General features: G+C 40.7%; 1 protein-coding gene and 1 long non-coding RNA gene across 3 annotated transcripts in view, besides 2 other annotated features; both read right to left on the bottom strand.

Moving 5' to 3' along the window:
* The window catches only part of TTC1 (tetratricopeptide repeat domain 1), a 56405-nt gene extending 37762 nt beyond the window's left edge, over positions 1 to 18643 (bottom strand). Inside the window, exons 1-2 of one of the 2 annotated variants that reach the window (NM_003314.3) lie at positions 18589 to 18643; positions 16924 to 17282 (exon numbers count right to left, since the gene is read on the bottom strand). In NM_003314.3, coding sequence (NP_003305.1) covers positions 16924 to 17253 — 330 coding nt within the window. In that variant the 5' untranslated portion in view covers positions 17254 to 17282; positions 18589 to 18643. The remainder of the gene's footprint in view (positions 1 to 16923; positions 17283 to 18588) is intronic. The other variant, NM_001282500.2, reaches the window with a different exon arrangement.
* LOC124901124 (uncharacterized) lies at positions 246 to 13123 on the bottom strand. Its single transcript, XR_007059025.1, has 2 exons — positions 8751 to 13123; positions 246 to 4185 (listed from the first exon to the last, which is right to left on the bottom strand). It is a non-coding gene; the product is annotated as an uncharacterized LOC124901124 (long non-coding RNA).
* Positions 18009 to 18904: an enhancer, noted in NCBI's record as "H3K27ac-H3K4me1 hESC enhancer chr5:159435885-159436780 (GRCh37/hg19 assembly coordinates)". NCBI's record gives its function as "activates a minimal SCP1, AML or CMV promoter by ChIP-STARR-seq in naive H9 embryonic stem cells {active_cell/tissue: H9 hESC(naive)}" and the evidence as "EXISTENCE:reporter gene assay evidence [ECO:0000049][PMID:30033119]".
* Positions 18745 to 18834: an enhancer, noted in NCBI's record as "active region_23553". NCBI's record gives its function as "activates an Ori minimal core promoter by ATAC-STARR-seq in GM12878 lymphoblastoid cells {active_cell/tissue: GM12878}" and the evidence as "EXISTENCE:reporter gene assay evidence [ECO:0000049][PMID:35858748]".

Genomic DNA, 19919 nt, shown 5'->3' with positions numbered 1-19919 from the left:
ATGATATACTTAAAATGTGAATGAGAAAAATTTTCAACAAAGATTATACATTTAACAAAACTACCTCAAGATGAAGGAAAAATAAAGACTTTCACAATGAACAAAGAAAATTTACTGCTGTGAAACCTGCCTCACAAATATATTAAAGTCCTTCAGGCTGGAGGAAATGACAGTAGATGGTCACTCAAAACCACAGGAGGAAATGAAGAACATCAGAAACGGTAAGCAGATATAAGACTCTAATATTATTTTCTCTCTTCTTTAATTTCTTTAAAAGACAAAAGATTATAAAAAGCTGTAATTATGACACTCAGTGGTTAGGTTTACAACATATATTGATAAAATGTACATGACAACGATAGTTCGAAGTGGAGGAGAGGAAATGGAGCTATGCTAAAGCAAAGCTTCTATCAATATATTTCACTGAAATTAGGTACTATTAAACTAAAGTAGGGCTGGGCACAGTGGCTCCTGCCAGTAATTTCAGCACTTTGGGAGGCCAAGGTAGGCAGATCGCTTGAACTCAGGAGTTTGAGAACAGCTTAGGCAACACGGCAAAACCCCATCTGTACAAAAAATACAAAAATTAGCTGGGCATGGTGGTGTGCACCTGTAGTCCAGCTACTCAGGAGGCTGAGGTGGGAGGATCACCTGAGCCCAGGGAGGTGGAGGCCGCAGTGATCCATGATTGCACCCCTGTACTCCAGCCTGGGCAACAAAGTGAGACCCTGTCTCAAAAAAAGAAAAAGAAAAAAAAAAAAGAATCCCGAAAAACTAAAGTAGACTATAAAAAGATGTGCATTACAATTCCTACAGCAACCACTAAGAAAATAGCTAAAAAGTAAGCATAGTTAATAAAATCCAAAGTATTAAAATAGCATGCAGAAAATATTATCTAATACAAAAAGAGGCAGTAAAAAACAGGAATAAAGAACACATGAGACTTGTAAAAGACAAATGACTAATGTAAATCCAAACATATCAACAAGCAGATAAAATATGAATGGACTAAACAACTCAAAGAGCAGAGATTATCACACTGGATTTAAAAAGATTCAATTATATGTTGACTATAGGATGCATACTTTACATTCAAAGACATATACAGGTTGAAAATAAAAGTATAAAAAAAAGATACTGTGTAAACAGCAACCTTAAGTAGCTGAAGTGCTATCAGACAAAACAGGCTTTAAGACAAGATACATTACTGGAGACCAAAAAAGGGGATATTTCATAACGGTAAAAAGGTCAACAAATTGGGAAAATATAACAACTATAAGTGTATTCGTATCTAACAGCAGAACCATAAAATATATAAAGGAAAAACTGACTGAATTCAGAGGAGCAACAGACAATACAACATTAGTTGAAGATTTCAATACCCCAATATCAGAAATTCTTTAAACAACCAGAGGTACAATACATATGGAAAAACATACAGAAATGTACAGCTTAGTACACTGTTGCAAAATATACATTCACAAAACTACTATACAAATTAAGATAGAGAACACTGCCAGAACCTCAGAAGCTTCCAGTGTACTCCTTTCTAAATTCTCTCACCCCGACATCCCTAGCCAAACAACTTTTCTTCATAACTTGAAGGAGCTAAATAATTGAGGTTGTCATACTTCTATAACACTGTGGAATGTATGCTTGCAACCTTTAGAAAACCAAGTATCTAAAAATGATTTTTAAAGAGCTCTTCTAAGTTCTATTCTAGACCTGAAATATTTTATGGTCTATGCTCACCGAATTCTGACTTACTAGCTATAGTTAACAGTTCCGGATTGCTTTTACCTGCTAATCATTTAATCCTTATGATCCCACTTTACGCCAAGTTAAATGATAGAGCTAGGACAGATCTAACATTTCCAAGTTCATATTTTTAGGTGAGGTGGTGCACATCTATAGTCCCAAGTACTTGAGGGACTGAGGTGGGAGAATCGCTTGAGCCCAGGAGTTGCACTGGCAACGAAGCTAGACCCTATCTTTTAAATAAAACAAAGCAAAGCAAAGCAAAACAAAACAAAACAACAAAGTTCATCCTCTTAACTACAAGACCATACTGTCTTCCACAGGTGTGGAAATAAAGAATTGTTTGCAGGAAGTAGAACTGAGTAATGCACAGAAGCTGCTGCAAAAAGGTGAACTCACAGAACTTATATGCTTCATAGTTCTAAAGAAAAAGTCACTTTTAATTCCCTTGGTGTCAAGAACTAGGGCATTTGAAAAGGGGATGACACTGCTCCAAAACATGTTATTCAGTTCCAGAGCTCTGACCTATAGTCATTTCGAGACCTATGTTAAAAATAAATCTCACTTGGTGTGGTAGCCCATACCTGTAATCCCAGCACTTTGGGAGGCCAAGGAGGGTGGATTGCTTGAGCTCAAGAGTTTGAGACCAGCATGGGCAACATGGCAAAACCCCGTCTCTACTAAAAAACAAAAATTAGGCCAGGTGCGGTGGCTCATACCTGTATCCCAGCACTTTGGGAGGCCAAGGCAGGTGGATTGCCTGAGGTCAGGAGTTCGAGACCAGCCTGGCCAACATGGTCAAACCCCATCTCTATTAAAAATATAAAAATTAGCCAGGTGTGGTGGCAGGCGCCTGTAATCCCAGCTACTTGGGAGGCTGAGGCAGGAGAATCACCAGAACCTGGGAGGCAGAGGTTGCAGTGGGCTGAGATTGCACCACTGCACTTCAGCCTGGGTGACAGAGTGAGACTTCGTCTCAAAAACAAACAAAACAAAAAAATAAAAATAAAAATACAAAAATTAGCTGGGCATGATGGCTCATGCCTGCAGTCCCAGCTACTCTGGAGGCTGAGGTGGGAGGATCACTGGAGCCCAGGAATTTGAGGCTACAGTGGAATTATGGAATCGTGCCACTGCACCCCAGCCTGGGGGACAGAGCAAGACCTGGTTTCAAAAAAACAAAGCAAAACAAAACAAAAACAAACCTCTTCCTCACTGAATCAAGGGCTTGGACCACAGGACTTAGGCTGTTCTATTATTATTACTGTTACTCTTGAGGTGGTAGCATCACTTGAGCACGAGTTTGAGACCAACCGGGGCAACAAAGCAAAACCCCATATCCTGAAAAAAAAAAAAAAATTTAGCTGGGTGTGATGGCAAGCCCCTGTATTCCCAGCTATGAGGGAGGCTGAGGCAGGAGGATCACTTGAGCCCGTAAGTTTGAGGCTGCAGTAAGCTATCATTATGCCACTGTGCTCCAGCTTGGGCTACTCTGTCTCTCTTAAAAAAGATAAAGGAACTGTCATCAACTAGAGAAAACTAAGGCAACATGAAAACTAAATGCAGTGGATCCTGGAACAGAAAAGATGATGTTCATGGAAAATGTGATGAAATCTGAATAAGGTCTGCAGTTTATAGTGTTGTAATAATGTTTATTTCCTGGTTTTGATAACTGCACTATGGATATGTAAGCTGTTAAAATTAAGGGAAGCTGGAATCTATTTTTTGCTACTTTCTGAAAAATGTTATTTCAAAAATAAAAAGTTAAAATAGAACTCTCCACCTGGGAAATAATTTTTATCTTTCAAGAGCTAAATATAGTCTCCAGTAAGGACATTAAACCCCTACCTCAGTAATGAGAGTTTTTCAACATACTTATGGCACAGAATGTGTAGGCACTGTGCTATGTACACAGCACAGAGAAGGCTCTACCCATTGCCCATCCCCCCACACTTACATGCTAACCAGAGTATATTGATTGAACACTACCTGCAAGAAGTGTGGCTGTAAAGGCCACTTTGCAAAAGATTGTTTCATGCAACCAGGTGGGACCAAATACTCTCTGATACCTGATGAGGAAGAGGAAAAGGAAGAGGCAAAGTCAGCAGAGTTTGAGAAGCCTGACCCCACAAGGAATCCTTCTAGAAAAAGAAAGGAGGAGAAGAAAAAGAATTGGAAGTCATCTGACTCTGACAGCTCAGACTCTGAGAATGATACAGGCAAGAGGGCAAGGCACACATCAAAAGACAGCAAGGCAGCAAAGAAGAAGAAAAAGAAGAAGCACAAGAAGAAGCACATAGGAGTGGAAAGATTAGGCAACATGTGACATGCCTTGTGCACACGGCTTTGTCCCCATTGAGCCTTGTATTTGGAAGCTTAGTCACCTGTGTCCATCTGGATCTGTTTCGTGATAAAACACGAAACTACCTAAAATAAAAAGGTAAGCAGAGTTACATGTCTCCCTAGCTGAATTATAAGTTTCTTGACAGAGAAAACCATATTCTTCAAGAAAACTTCAGCCTGGGCAACACAGCAAGACCGTGTCTCTCCTAAAAATAAAAAAAATTAGCTGGGCGTGGTGGCTTATGCCTGTAGTCCCAGCTATTTGGGAGGCTGAGGGGGAAGGATCACTTGAGCCCCAGAGGTAGAGGTTACAATGAGCCATGATTGCGTCACTGCACTCCAGCCTGGGCAACAGAGCAAAACTCTATTTCCAAAAAAAAAAAAAAGAAAGAAAACCAATTTTGCCTAATTTTTTTTTTTTTTTTGAGACAGTGTTTTGTTCTGTTGCCCAGGCTGGAGTGCAGTGATGCAATCTCAGTTCATTGCAACCTCCGCCTACCGGGTTCAAGTGATTCTCCTGCCTCAGCCTCCTGAGTAGCTGGGATTATAGGCGCACACCACCAGGCCCTGCTATTTTTTTTGTATTTTTAGTAGAGATGGGGTTTCACCTTGTTGGTCAGGCTGGTCTTAAACTTGACCTCAGGTGATCCGCCCACCTCGGCCTCCCAAAGTGTTGGGATTACAGGCGTGAGCCACTGCACCCGGCCAATTTTGTCTATTAATTGCAGGTACTAACAAATGTCTGCTGAATGAATAACTCAATTTCTAGAATTACCCCGAATCTGTAGCATATGTGGGTTAATTTTCATTTAACTAACAAAGAAATAAAGGTGGAAACTATTACAAGTGTCCTTTCTGAATAAAATTAGCAAATCAAGGATTTAAATATTATAAACTTCTTTACATAAAGAAGATATTCTATAAAGAAGACAAATTACTGTAAATACTAGTTAGGATGAAAAATGGAAATGGTATGCTACTATTGCTAAGTGAAGAGTCTTCCTGTAAAGCAAATATCCATGACTTGGCTATAATCTTACCTTGTAATTTCCTATTTACTAACATAGTACCCCTATCTGCTTAATTACCTATACTATATTAGATGCCTGATTCCATGGCTGTGTAACTCATTCAATGAGCTAAAACTCATAATACTTATTATGTGCCAAACATTGTGCTAAGAGCTTCAAATGGATTGATTCACTTTCTTAAAATATTAGAAGTAGCTTGAATATAATTTTTTAATTGACAACAAAAAAACCACCCTCCAAAAAACCCAAAAATCCAAGCTAGAGAACTTCAACTGATATAATTTAAAATCCTGGGTAGCATGGCAAAATGTTAGAAAGTGCTTCTCTAGTCCCTTATAAATAAACCACTCTTCAGCAGACTACAATGCAGTGGCTGAGTAGGGTATTTCTTTTACTTTAGGTCAGTGAATACAACATAAACACACTTGACTTTGAGCTTATAAGTGTATACCCCATCTATCATTATTAAATAGTTAAAAACTTGCATGAAATACATTTAAAAAATAATCTCATATTTAAATAATCCTATGGTAAGCATGTGCTCAACAGACAAACAGGGGGAAAACCAAGACTCTCACTCCGGCAAGCTTATGTCCATATTATAAATCTATCAGCAGCTCTCTGCTGCCCTCTGCAGTTTTGTGAAGTAATTGCTACAAAATAAAACGGCATACACTTTATGCCAAGCACAGTACCCAGGGATCACAGTACCCAGAGATCAATAGCTGGAGTAAAAGAGAGCGTAAAGAGAGGTACATACTTGCTCAACTGCTGGAAAGTGGAGGCACATGCAACAAAACTTTCTGCTTTAGTCTTATCTAGGTGGGACAAGAAAACTACACTTGGAATGCAAATACTGGAAGGGCTAGGGACATCAGTTCTATAATTATTTTGAAGGGAATTCCTTATCATTAAAAAAATAAGCTTTTGGTTTTGTCTTCTTTGAAATCAGATATCACTTGCTTTACATACATAAAGACATATCTGTTCTTTCCACAAGTCACCTTTACAGGTCCTCTAGGGAGGCATGAGGGAGGATCTTTGGATCTAAGCCACAGTTAGAACCTGCCTCTCAGTAGGTGTTATCCTTCTGAGGAAAAAAATGACTGATCTATGAGGAATTAATCTTGGAAATAGTCCCTTGTTTCTTAAATCAGAAAATTCTATTTCCCAAAACTCAATCTTTAACAGAAATAAATTTTCTATGTCAGGACTGCTTAAATTCGGCCCAACAAGTTGTTTTTAGACCTTGATCAACGGATGTAGGTAAAAGAAAACCTCCTATTCAGTTCTTCCGATGTTGGATGCAGTCAATGTACGGGTTAGGTCAATACTTCTTGTTTTGGAAGCTTAGTCATCTGTGTCCATCTGGATCTGTTTCCCATGGTGTGGCCACAGTTCTTCCTATATCAAAATTACCTGGGAGGCTTGCTAACAAAACAGATGCCTGGTTGTTGCCTCACAGGTGTGTGGTGTCAGACACTTCTCAGGCTGTGCATGGTTAATACATTTCCTGTGATGCTTAGACACAATAAAGTCTGGAAACCACTGATCTACACAAAGTGACCTTTCTTAATAAACACAGGAAATACTGAACGTCATTTTAACTTTTCTGCCAGCAAATAATGTAAACACACCTCACTAACTTCCAAATGTTTTAGAGCAGCGGTCCCTACCCTTTTTGGCACCAGGGACTGCTCTTGTGGGGAACTATTTTTCCACGGACTAGGGTCTTGGGGAAGGGGGTGTTCATAATGATTCAAGCACATTACATTTATTGTGTACTTTATAATTATTAAACTGTAATATATAATCAAATAGTTATACAATTCACCATAATGTAGAATCAGTGGGAGCCCTAAGCTTGTTTTCCTGCAACTAGACGGTCCTACCTGGGGGTGATGAGAGACAGTGATAGACTATCAGGCATTAGATTCTTGTAAGGAGCAGGCAACACAGATCCCTTGCATGTGCAATTCACAACAGGGTTCACAAGCCTACGAGAATCTAATGCTACCATGGATATGACATGAGGTGGAGCTCAGACAGTAATGCAAGCGATGGGAAGTGGCTGTAAATACAGATGAAGCTTCGCTCACTAGCCTGCTGCTCACTTCCTGCTGTGTGGCTGGGTTCCTTACAGGCCACAGACTGGTATCAGTACATGGCCGGGGGTTGACGACCCCTGTTTTAGAGCAAGCAACCCTTATTTCCACTGGTTTAAACTTAGCATCAGGCCAGGCAGGGTGGTTCATTCCTGTAATCCCAGCACTTTGGGAGGCCAAGTGAAAGGGCCTCTACAAAAATAAAAATAAACAAACTTGGGATCAGAAATCTAAGCTCCTTCTAGGATTTGATTTAATCGTTTGTAGACAGCATTAAGTTCAACAGTGGTAACTCTAAGAAGTTGGTAAAACTGACCACCTTAGTTCCAAAGGATGCCTATTAGAAATGAAAGAAAAGGAGGCTGGGGCGGGCGGATCACTTGAGGTCAGGAGTTCGAGACCAGCCTGGCCAACATGGTGAAACTCCGTCTCTACTAAAAATACAAAAATTAGCTGGGTGTGGTGGTGGGCACCTGTAATCCCAGCTACTTGGGAGGCTGAGGCAGGAGAATCACTTGAACCTGGGAGGCAGAGGTTGCAGTGAACCAAGATCATGCCACTGTACTCCAGTCTGGGCGACAGGGCAAGACTCTGTCTCAAAATAAACAAACAGAAAACAACAACAACAAAAAGAAAACAAGAAATGAAAGAAAAGGGAGGCAGGAGGCAGGGCACAGTGGCTCATGCCTATAATCCCAGAACTTTGGGAGGCCGAGGTGGGTGGATCATGATGTGAGTTCGAGACCAGCCTGGCCAATATGGTGAAACCCAGTCTCTAGTAAAAATACAAAAATTAGCTGGGTGTGGTGGCACACGCCTGTAGCCCCAGCTACTCGGGAGGCAGAGAGAGAATCGCTTGAATCCGGGAGGCGGAGGTTGCAGTGAGCAGAGATCGCACCGCTGCACTCCAGCTTGGGCAACAGAGAGGGAATATCCATCTCAAAAAAAAAAAAAAAAAAAAAAAGAATGAAAGAAAAGGGAAACAACAAAATCAGAAAGGTTGCTCATGACGTTAACAGGACTATGCAGGCCACTATGGAAGAAGTTACTGAGAACTTTTTGGAAGCAATCGAGAGTATTCCCTGCAAACACATCCACAGCCACAACATTAATTAGATTATGAAAATGGTGCAATAGGGTGGCAGAAACATGGAAATCCAAAAGATTAAGTAATGTGGAATTTAGGAAAAATGACAGAGGGAAGAGACTGAAATATAACATCTGTTCTAAACTGAAACTTCTAAGCTTTGATAATGGTTCCTAAAGAGAAAATGACCTTAAAGAATAATCCTTAAAACTTTCAGAGCCTAATGTTTTAAAATCCCAGATACCAGGCATTCTGAATCCATGTTCACCAAGCAACAGACTTTTGGATCCCTTATGTGTACATGTAAATGAATACCATTTGCAAACCACTAGTGAAAGGGAGCAAACCCATTGAAATGACTAAATCTGCATTTTGGCTTACAAATAAAAAATGTTTGTTTGCAGGAAAGAATTAAATCACCAGAACCTGGATAAGTTCAAAGTTCCTTCATCTTCTTCATATTAATAAAGGCCACACCATCCATCCAGTAGCTGAAGACAAGGAATCATTCTAACGTCTCACTCCATCCCGCCAATCGAATCCACTGCAATGTGTGGTCTGCTTTACCTCTGAAATATATCCCAAAATCATACACTTCTCTTCAGATCCACAGTTCAAGCTACTATCATCTTCACTGGGCTACTGCATTAGAGCCTAATTGGGCTCAAATGTTCTATTCATGTCCCTCCTCCATCCTCATACCCCTCCATTCTCTGTATAAGAACTGAATTCTCTTATTAAAATGTAAATAACTTCCGTCTCTCCCTGGCTTAAAATTATCCATCTGTTTCCTTCTGCACTTGGAAAAAACTTCAAGTTCTTTACTACGGCTTAGGAACTATTCCATAATCAGACCCTTGCCTACTATCAGCCCACTCTCTTCCTTAATCATCATGCTTCAGCCATCGGCTCTTCCATTCCTTGAACATGCCAAAACACCAAACTTGTTGTTACTTTAGGGCTTTATTCAACTGCTCTCTTTGTCTGCAATGCTTCCCTCTCAGACGGTCACACATTTGGCTGCTCCCAGTGCCACCCTCCCCTAAGTCTCTGTTGAGAGGCCACCTCTCCAGAGAGGCTTTCCTGACCAGCCAATCTAAAGCAGTCCTCTCCACCTGTCTTAGTCAGGTTGCTATAACAAAATAACAGACTCAGTAATTTATAAATAATAGAAATTTATTTTGCACAGCTCTAGGGGCTGGAAATTCCAAGATCAAGGCACCAGCAGATTTCGCGTCTGGTAAGGGGCTTGTTCTTTGCTTCAATATGGTGCCTTCTTTCTGCATCCTCACTTTGTGGAAGGGGAGTAGAAGGGCCCAACAGGTTCCCTCAAGTCTTTTATTGGTATACTTTATAAGGATACTAATTCTTCTAATCACCTTCTAAAGGCTCCACCTCTTAATACTACACATTGAGGATTAAGTTCAACATGAATTTTGGAGGAAAACATTCAAACCATAGCACCATCCTTCCAACCCAACCCATCCTTCATGTTAACATTTTGTCCTAATTCTCCAATGAGAGAACAGAAACCCTGTCTTGTTCACCACTGTATCCCTCAGGGCCTCAAACAATGTCTAGTGGGTGGAAGAAATGTAAATATTACTTGAATAAATGTGAGAAAAAAATTTCTGTAACTTATAAGGCCAATTATTGGCTCTCATGGGGGAGAAAAAGATGCTATTCATTCAACAGCTATTTAATGAAGGAAGATTGTGCAAAACCTGTGACAGTGGTCCTCAAGCCTCAGCATGTGCATATGAATTACCTAGGAAATTTACACATGAGACCTAAGAAACTGCACTGTGACAAGCAGTCCATAAAAGGCGATTTTCTTATGGAATCAATACTAGCATTCTGCAGTATGTGCCATAGGTCCTAATACTATAAACACTTGCTATGGTCTGAATGTGTCCCTCCAAAATTCATGTTGAAATAATCCCCATTGTGTTGGTATTAAGAGGTGCGTCCTTTTGGGATGTGATTAAGTCATAAGGGTTCCAACCTCATGAATGGATTAGTGTCCTAATAAAAGAGGTTGAAGGGAGCTGCCCTGCCCCTGCTGCCATGTAGGGACACAAATGGTGCCATCTGTAAGGAAGAGGCCCTCACCAGACACTAAAATTGCTGGCACCTTGATCTTGGACTTCTCAGCCTCCAGAATTATGAGCAATAAATTTCTATTATTTATAAGTTATCCAGTCTAAGGTATTTTGTTATAGCAGCTCCAACACACTAAGATAGAATTTTTGTATCATAATGTTATTATTGCAATTCTCTTCTGCTGCTACATTTGTCCTTCACCTTAGCCAAGCCTCTCAGAACCAGTTATTTGCTTCACATACCTAGTACATCTCAAATGTTAGCTAAAATTCCATTCCTGTGGGTAGTTATATCTACATTTAAGCTTTCACAAATAGTTAAGATTTACTGCTGAAATAAACACACGAATACACTATACTCTCTGAGAGCTTTTCCTGTTTTTACCAAATCTTAACTGCTTTCCTCCTCAATTATTCTTGATTTATGAGTCCTGCTGAGAAGTGACACTACACTTGAGCGTGAATTATCTTCCCAGCCACAGGACAAGTGAAGTTAGCTTGATTAACAGACTTTGGCTACTATTATTTGGTTGTGTCCAACAAGAAACCTTTAATACTACATAGACCCTGTACGGAATAGCACTTCTTTCCCAAATCATCAGGGGTCAGCTTCATGTGCTTTTGTGGTAGGGCACACAGTTTGGTTGTAAAGTAATCAATTTTTATTTATTTATATTCTTAAAATGGAATAATGTAATACAGGCTTACTGAAAAAAAAAGCAAATATTACAAAATTGCATTACATATAAATTAAAATTCCCTAATAATCATACCTCTCAAAGTTACTTACTGCTTATACTTTGGTGTATATCCTTCAAATTTGTATGTATAAACATATTTTCACATAGCCTTAAAAGAAATCATCACTGTTGTATAACCTGATTAATTAATTTGACATTATATTACAGGCAGCTTCCCAGGTCAATACCTACGATTCATCTTTTTAAAAAAATTTTTTAAATTATTTATTTATTTATTGAGACAGAGTCTCATTCTGTCACCCAGGCTGGAGTGCAGTGGCGTGATCTCGGCTCTCTGCAACCTCCGCCTCCTAGGTTCAAGCAATTCTCGTGCCTCAGCCTTCTAAGTAGCTGGGACTATAGGTGTGCACCGCCATACCTGGCTAATTTTTGTATTTTTAGTAGAGATGGGGTTTCACCATGTTGGCCAGGCTGGTCTTGAATTCCTGGTCTTGAGTGGTCTGCCCACCTTGGCCTCCCAAAGTGCTGGGATTATAGGCATGAGCCACTGCACCCGGCCAAGATTTACCTTTAACAACTGCATTGTATACTACATAAATATAACAACAAAATTTAAGTAATACTCTGGGAAGAACACATTTTTCTCTCCTACTATACCCTCCCAATAGGTCTGACACCAGATGAGAGTGTTTTCCACACTAAACAATTCTCCAATGGACACCAACGGAGTGTCCTATAATTCAATTCAGTTCTGTCACTATCTCCAGGTAGACAGTGTCTGATCCCACAGGTTAAGAGTTTAGTCTCATAAGCCTGGCCCCACTTCAGACACTAATCACAAGTCCCAGGTTGTGACCTATGATTCCGACTGAATGGTTAGCACAGGGTTCTTACCACCCTCTCTGTGGGTTCAATAATTTGCTAGAATGGCTCACAGAACTCTGGGAAACACTTTACTTACACTTAGTAGTTTATTACAAAGGACATTATGAATGATATAGAACAGCCAGGTGAAGAGACACACAGGGAAAGGTAGAGGGAGAAGGGGTGCAGAGCTGCCACGCCCTCTCTGGGTGCTACCCTCTTAACACTTCCATGTGCTCATCAACCTGGAAGCTCATCAGATTTCTAGTTCAAGAGTTTTTATAGGCCAGGCGCAGCAGCTCACACCTGTAATCCTAGCACTGTGGGAAGCTGAGATGGGAATATTGCTTGAGTCCAGGAGTTCGAGACCAGCCTGGGCAACATAGTAAGACTTCATTTCAAACACAAAAAAATTTAGCAAGGTGTGGTGGAAGGCGCCTGTGGTCCCAGCCACTTGGGACATTGATGTAGGAGGATTGCTTGAGCCCAGGAGGTTGAAGCCTCCAGTGAACTATGATCGCACCTCTGCACTCCAGCCTGGGCAACAGAGCGAGACTTGGCTCAAAACACAAGAAGAAAAAAGCTTTAATGGAGCTTAATCTCCAGCACTTGCCCTCCTCCTTTCCTGGATTTTGGTAGGTGGTGCCAAAAGTTCCAACCCTCTAAAACTCTAATCACTTAGTCTTTTTGGTGACTGGCCCCATCCTTCCTTAGGCTATAGATAGGCCAGATCCTAAAAGTTATCTCATTAGGATGAACTCAGGTGTTATCAAAAGGGGTACATTAAGAATAACAAAAAAATACACTACACTATCAGAAAATTCCAAGGGTTCTAGTGGCTCTGTAACAGGAACCAGGGACAAAGACCAAATAAATTTACTATACTACAAATACCCTGTTTAACATTGTCTAGCTTTCCAAAATTATGAATGATGCTGCAACACATCTATGTATATACATTTGTGTATATTTCTAATAATTTCCTTGAAATAAATGGCTACAAGAGAATCAGCGTTAATGCTGTCATGTCCAATATGGTACTTACTAGCCACATGTGACGATTTTAAAATTATTTATTTATTCATTTTGAGACAAGGTCTCACTCTGTTGCACAGGCTGGGGTGCAGTGGCGTGATCATGGCTCACTGCAGCCTTGACTTCCCAGGCTCCAGGGATCCTCCCACCTCAGCCTCCTGAGTGGTGGGGCTACAGGCTTGTGCCACACGTGATTATTTTTATTTTTAAAGGCTTTTTAAAAAATTTTAATTAAAAAAAAATTTTTTTTTTTTTGGAAAGACAGGGTCTCACTATGTTGCCCAGGCTGGTCTCAAACTCCTGGGCTCAAGTGATCCTCCAGCCTCAGCCTCCCAAGTGCTGGGATTATAGGAATGAGCCACTATGCCTGGCCCATGTGACTATTTATTTATTTTCTGAGACGGAGTTTTGCTCTTGTCTCCCAGGCTGGAGTGCAATGGCCCAATCTCGGCTCACTGCAACCTCGACCTCCTGGGTTCAAGCAATTCTCCTGCCTCATCCTCCTGAGTAGTTGCGATTACAGGAGCCCGCCACCAGGCCTGGCTAATTTTTTAATTTTTGGTAGAGATGGGGTTTCACTATGTTGGCCAGGCTGGTCTCGGGTCGAACTCCTGACCTTAGGTGATCTGCCTGCCTCAGCCTCCCAGAGTGCTGGGATTATAGGTGTGAGCCATCCCGTATGACTATTTAAATTAATTACAATAAAATTCAGTTCCTCAGCCGTAATAGCCACATTTCAAGTGCTCAATAGCCTGATGTAGTCAGCAGCTACCATACTGCATGGTGCAGGATGTAGAACATTCCTATCCTTGTAGAAGAGTCTATTGATAGCCCTATCTAAAGAAATGGTCACATAAAAATTTGGTATCTGCATCCCATGAAGTGACATAACAATTTAAATTCTCAATATTAGTATATGAGTTCCAACATCCTCTCCTTGTCAACATCAGATCAATATTCTGATCTGATAGATGAGACATAATGTTTTAGTTAGTATTTTTTTTTTTTTTTTTGAGACAGAGTCTTGCTCTGTCACCCAGGCTGGAGTGCAGAGGCCTGATCTCAGCTCACTATAACCTCCATCTCCCAGGTTCAAGCGATTCTCCTGCCGCAGCCTCCCAAGTAGCTGGGATTACAGGCGCACACCACCACGTCCAGTTAATTTTTGTATTTTTAGTAGAGATGGGGTTCCATCATGTTGGTCAGGCTGGTCTCGAATTCCTGACCTCATGATCCGCCCGCCTCAGCCTCCCAAAGTGCTAGGATTACAGGCATGAGCCACCACGCCCAGCCTGTACTTTTCATCATTATTAATGAGGCTGAGTCTTTTCACATTTTTTGGCCATTTTTTTTTTTTAGTCATTGTTGAACTATCTGAACTTTATTTTAAAAGATTCAAATATAACACTATCCTGTTTCTGATGAGCTATTAAAGCCAAACCATATATGTAGAAGACATTTCTTCAATCTGTTTCGCTGGCTTCTTGAAAATTTTGGAAAGATATTTATCAAAATAGCATACAAACACCTAATAAGAGTAGTACCACAGTTAGCTGAAGGCAATCTGCACTCTTATAGGTTGTTTCCTTAAAGTAGAGTCAGTGGCTTACATTTCTCTAAATAATAAGACTAGCACTGCAGTATGTTACTGTTATGAGATATTCTTACAAATTTTCAAATTAGCTATGAAAACACTTAGACTGATATATAAATGAATAGAAAATATTTATGTTTTAAACATGAATACTACTGTATGATTATGTTTATATGAATGTCTGGAACAGGAAAAAACCACCTATGGGACAGGAATCAGAAGAGTGGTTAACCAGAGACTGGCAGGGTTGGGAAAGGAATGACTGATAAAGCACACAAATGGAGTTTCTGACATGATGGAAATGTTCTCTATCTTGATAGAAACGTGAACTATGCAGGTGTATACAATTGTCAAACTCACTGCATTCTACACATGAGAACTGATATACAGTTTCACTAAATTATATCTCAATTTTTAAAAGGAGGAAAAAAGTGAAAAAAAGTATTGTTCTACTTAGAATATTAAACTTACAGGCAATAAAAATAATTATCCTCACTGGGTGTGGTGGTTCACGCCTGTAATCCCAGCACTTTGGGAGGCCAAAGTGGGAGGACTGCTTGAGCCCAGGAGTTGGAGACCAGCCTTGGCAACATGGTGAGACACTGTCTCTACCAAAAAACCCACAAAAATTAGCCAGGCAGGGTGGTGCAAGCCTGTTGTCCCAGGTGCTCAGGAGGCTGAGGTGGGAGGATCCACTTGAGCCCAGGAGGTTGAAACTGCAGTGAGCCGTGATCACATCACTGCACTCCAGCCTGGATGACACAGTGAGATCCTGTCTTAAAAAAAAAAAAAATCATAAAAGTATTTATAGAACTTAAAGTATGATTTTCTGGCCTAGGAGACACAAAAAAAGTTTTACTAAATTAGAGGTAGGGATCAGACTTTGTGACACCTTGAGCCAAACCATTCAACTGTCAAATCCAGAGGGCACTAGAAAATTAATATAATTTCAGGGCAAAATATATTAAGGTATCAGAAAAGCACTACTAACTTTTTAACATAGATGCATAATCAGTGTTTCTAAAAAGCCTGAAACCTGTTATAATGTTATGGAACAGTAGTTAATTTTTTTGAGCTGTATTTGCTGTGGTAGTTTATGAACTTGGCTCACTTTTGCCCTTTTTCCTCCTGTTCTGGTGGTGCACACTAGCACAAAAACGAACACGTTCACATTAAAGCTAACTGATTTGATAATGAAAAGCGTCTAAGGAGAGAGAAAGAGAAGATGCTCCTACCCACCCCAGGCTACCTTCCCACCCCCACTGTTAGGCTTAGGCTGAACATTTATTATCTCATCTCAATACCAATGTATCACAACCTGTTCAGTGAGTGAGCTCCTTAGTGGCATAAACTACAATCTAGTTCAAGTTCTTTGTAGACAAACTCAAGACATTACAGTAACTCTTCAGAGACTACCTTGCTTGTGCAATCAGAAGGAAGTAGGACAGCAGGACTTCAGTCTCCAAAAGTGAAGGCTTGCCCAGTTAAGGGTGTGGCCCCAGGGCAAAGAAACAGGAGAGTGTACATTTTATTAGTCTATCTGCTTTGTAGGAAGACAGATGTTTTTGTTATTACATTATACATTATACTCTAGCTTTGGAATCCAACAGATTTGATTTGAGAATTAGTTTTGCAATTCATTAGGTGTTTGATCTTGGGCTAGTTACTTCATCCCTCTAAGCTGTTTCCTTATGGGAAATAACAGTATGTATCTCATAGGCATGTTGTGATGATTAATGAAAACACAAGTAACATTTTAAGTCAGTGGATGGCACATTGTAGGCATTCAACAAAGGATAGCTAGCTATAATCATACACAATTCTGTTTCTCAAGACCTCTGCAACCAAAACCCCACCAAGATATTCAGGCAGTCATATTTTGCTAACAAGGGATTAGCATAAACAGGAAATGTTCATAAACATAAATGTAGCATAAACATAAAAATGTTCATTACAGAAATCTCAGCAGCCAACCGTAGAAAAGTTCATAACAGAAAACTAAAAAGTATATATACATTTTGAAAATAAACAAAAAGACTGTTACATTACAGACTCCTGAAGTACAAGATGAACATAACTGAAGGTTCACAGAAAATAATGAAAATTTCTTTGTTAAGCAGACACACTCAAGTGCTTCCCTGTCACGCCACCGATTTATCTCAGATCCAACACTACTAAAGCCATAAGAAGACAAAGGGGCAAGTTATTCTTTACCACAGATGAGGTGGTCTATGATACAGTATCGACCACATTTTAAAATGCAGTGTAAGTGGCAGATCTTGCACAATAAATAAAATACTTACCTGTTTCTCTTCATCCGACATGTTTTTTTCCAGTTCTATTAGGTATTCTTCATCTAGTTCAGAGGAATTCACATCTTCATTAGATTTGTTCTCAACCTTGTCCGCTCCTGGCTCCTCCTCAAATGAGGCACTGCAGTCATGAAAACACTCCTCTTCTCCCTGGTCCTCCTGGAGATGGGCCTCATCATCCCTGAGCAGCTTACTCTGGGAATGCTGATTTTTGGGATCAGGAACTGGAGGGCCAGCACACTCGGCTTCCTGAGTATCTGTAACCTTCAAACCATTTAACAGATCCTCTGGAACCCCACAGTTCTCTGACTTCTCCCCCATGCTGCCCAGTGAGGGAGGTGACGCTAAAGCTGGGGGAAAACAAAACAAAACTGCTATATAATGGTGCTTGTATTTTTAAAAGTTCTGTTTCAAACCTAAACAAACCTCTGCATTACAGCCAAAAAACACACCGTAATTTCCTTTCACTGGAATTCATTATTTAAAAATACAGCTTATCATAAGTAATAATAATGTCAAATCGTCATTTTAACTGAGACCCCTTTTCTGGTCAAATCTGGTACCAGATTCTTTTTTTTTTTTTTTTTTTTTTGAGACTTAATCTCAGTCTGTCGCCCAGGCTGGAGTGCAGTGGCGCGATCTCGGCTCACTGCAACCTCTGCCGTCCGGGTTCAAGCGATTCTCCTGCCTCAGCCTCCCGAGTAGCTGGGATTACAGGCGCCTGCCACCGCGCCTGGCCCAGAACTTCTTAAAAGCAACAAAAGAAGCCGTTTTTAATGTAACTCTTCCACGTTCCACCGTTCGTGTTCTGTTTGGATAGCAAAAATTAGGCAGAAACTAAAACAGTGCCAAGAAAAAGGAAGCAGCCCTAATCTCCATTCAGAATGAATAACCAAGGCACGAGTAAGAAACTACGGTCCGTCTTTTTAGCACCACCACAGGAAGCCCAAGAATACGTTTCTAGTAGACTTCAAAATAAAATCCGTGCCAAAATTGTGATCACTTTAACCCAAATGCGTGTGGTAGAGCCCACTCAGCTTACACTGGAAGGGGAACCCTGGCGCAGGTGACCCTAATCAGGATTACCGTGGGGGCCAGAGTCAGGCATTAGAAAGCGTGACTCTGAACCCTAGCTGCCCAAGAGAACACTAGAGATACTTTAGAAAATACCACTGCTCAGACCCTGACCAAATTCTGATTTATTAGTGTCGCGTCAAGCAAGGGCATCAGGTTTATTTATTTATTTATTTATGTTTTCATCCCAGGTGATTCTGATATGCAGCCAATTGCGAACCACTGCTGTAGAAGCTGAGTCAGAGCATCAGCAGCCCAGACATTTGCAAAAATTTGCGACAGATTTGCAAGAACGTAAATTGCTCTAGTCGCAGCAAAATCACGCCAACGACCCTTGTATCACGACAAGAGTCTGAATTTGCCCTAGTATGTGCCAAGAAAACTTAAAAAACCAGCAAGATCTTAATACGGAGACTTCGCCTCCACAGCAATGTCTTGCTTCTCTTCGCTCCCAGGTCTACTGGAAGAACACAGGAGTTTGAGCTCCTACAGTTAGGGAAGTGATGCCTCGCGCTTCCCAGCAGATTATTCCCTAGCTTTGTTCCTCACAGCCAACACGCTTAGACCCACGGGGTTACTCACAACCTCACAGCTTCTCCGGTCTCCACCTTCTTAGCCTCTGAGAGCTCCTACTTCCGCTCAGTCAGGTGCACTTCCGTCGATGACGACTAATAGCGTCGCTATTGGCAAAGCATCCTGGGAAATGTAGCGAAACTCTCAGGGAGGAAAGGCATAGTCGCTGTGTGACGTCATTGTACGGCGTGACATTTGAGAGATGGTTGCCATCTTGGGTTACGGCAAGACTCCGCGTTACTCTGCACGAAGAGAAAAAAGGACAAAAGGAAGTCTGTCCCTGTGGTGTTCGTTTCACTATTTATTTATTTATTTATTTATTTATTTATTTATTTATTTATTTATTTATTTTTGAGACAGAGTCTCAGTCTGTCGCCCAGGCTGGAGTGCAGTGGCGCAATCACAGCCTCTACTCACTTCAGCCTCAACCTCCTGGGATCAAGCGATTCTCTTGCCTCAGCCTTACGAGTAGCTGGGACCACAGGTGCGCGCCACCACGCCCAGCTAATTTTTTTGTATTTTTAGTAGAGACGGAGTTTCACTATGTTGCTCAGGCTGTTCTTGAACTCCTGGGCTCAAGCGATCCTCCCTCCTCGGCCTACCAAAGTGCTGGGATTATAGGCGTGAGCCACCGCGCCCGGTCCATTTTTATTTTTCAAGGGCTAGCCAAGTCAAACAGTGGGAGTGGAGAAGAAACAAAAAGATCTGTAACTGGTTGTGATCAGTTAGTTGTAAACACCACTGCACTCAGACCAACCTCAATAATATTTAAGACCGTAAGGGAACCCTGAGACCAAGAGTGGTTGCCCTATGCATTCATTCGAGAAATGTTCACTGAATGTTTATTAGACCCTGGGCATTGTGCTGGGATCACAGAATTGAAATATAGTACCCATCCTCAAGGTAGCCAGACAGGTAACCAGCAATGACAGCAGAGAATTCGTTTTCTGTAATTCACAGAACCTATTGCAGAGATAGATAGCTGGAAGAGACTTTTTCAGGAAGAGTATGAAACTTGTTTTTTGAATTTCCATCTAAATGAGATTATGCATACAGTTGTATTTTTTGTAAGTTGAAAGCTTTATATGCTAAAAGAAAACATCAAAAATATATCCTATTTTGGTTTTAGTATTTCTGAATTTTAAAAAATACCCCCAGAATTTAAAAAGTGTAAATGGAGGCTGAGTGTGGTGGCTCATGCCTGTAATCCCAGCACTTTGGAAGGTGGACATGGGAGGATCTCTTGGGGCCAGGAGTTCGGGACCAGCCTGACCAACATGGCAAAACCCATCTCTATCTATATATACATATACATATGTGTGTGTGTGTATAAATTAGCT

The sequence above is a fragment of the Homo sapiens genome, chromosome 5 (assembly GCF_000001405.40).
Source record: "Homo sapiens chromosome 5, GRCh38.p14 Primary Assembly".
NCBI classification, from domain to species: domain Eukaryota; kingdom Metazoa; phylum Chordata; class Mammalia; order Primates; family Hominidae; genus Homo; species Homo sapiens.
The sequence above is the reverse complement of the archived record's forward strand: the minus strand, read 5'-3'. Positions and strand labels throughout refer to the sequence as shown.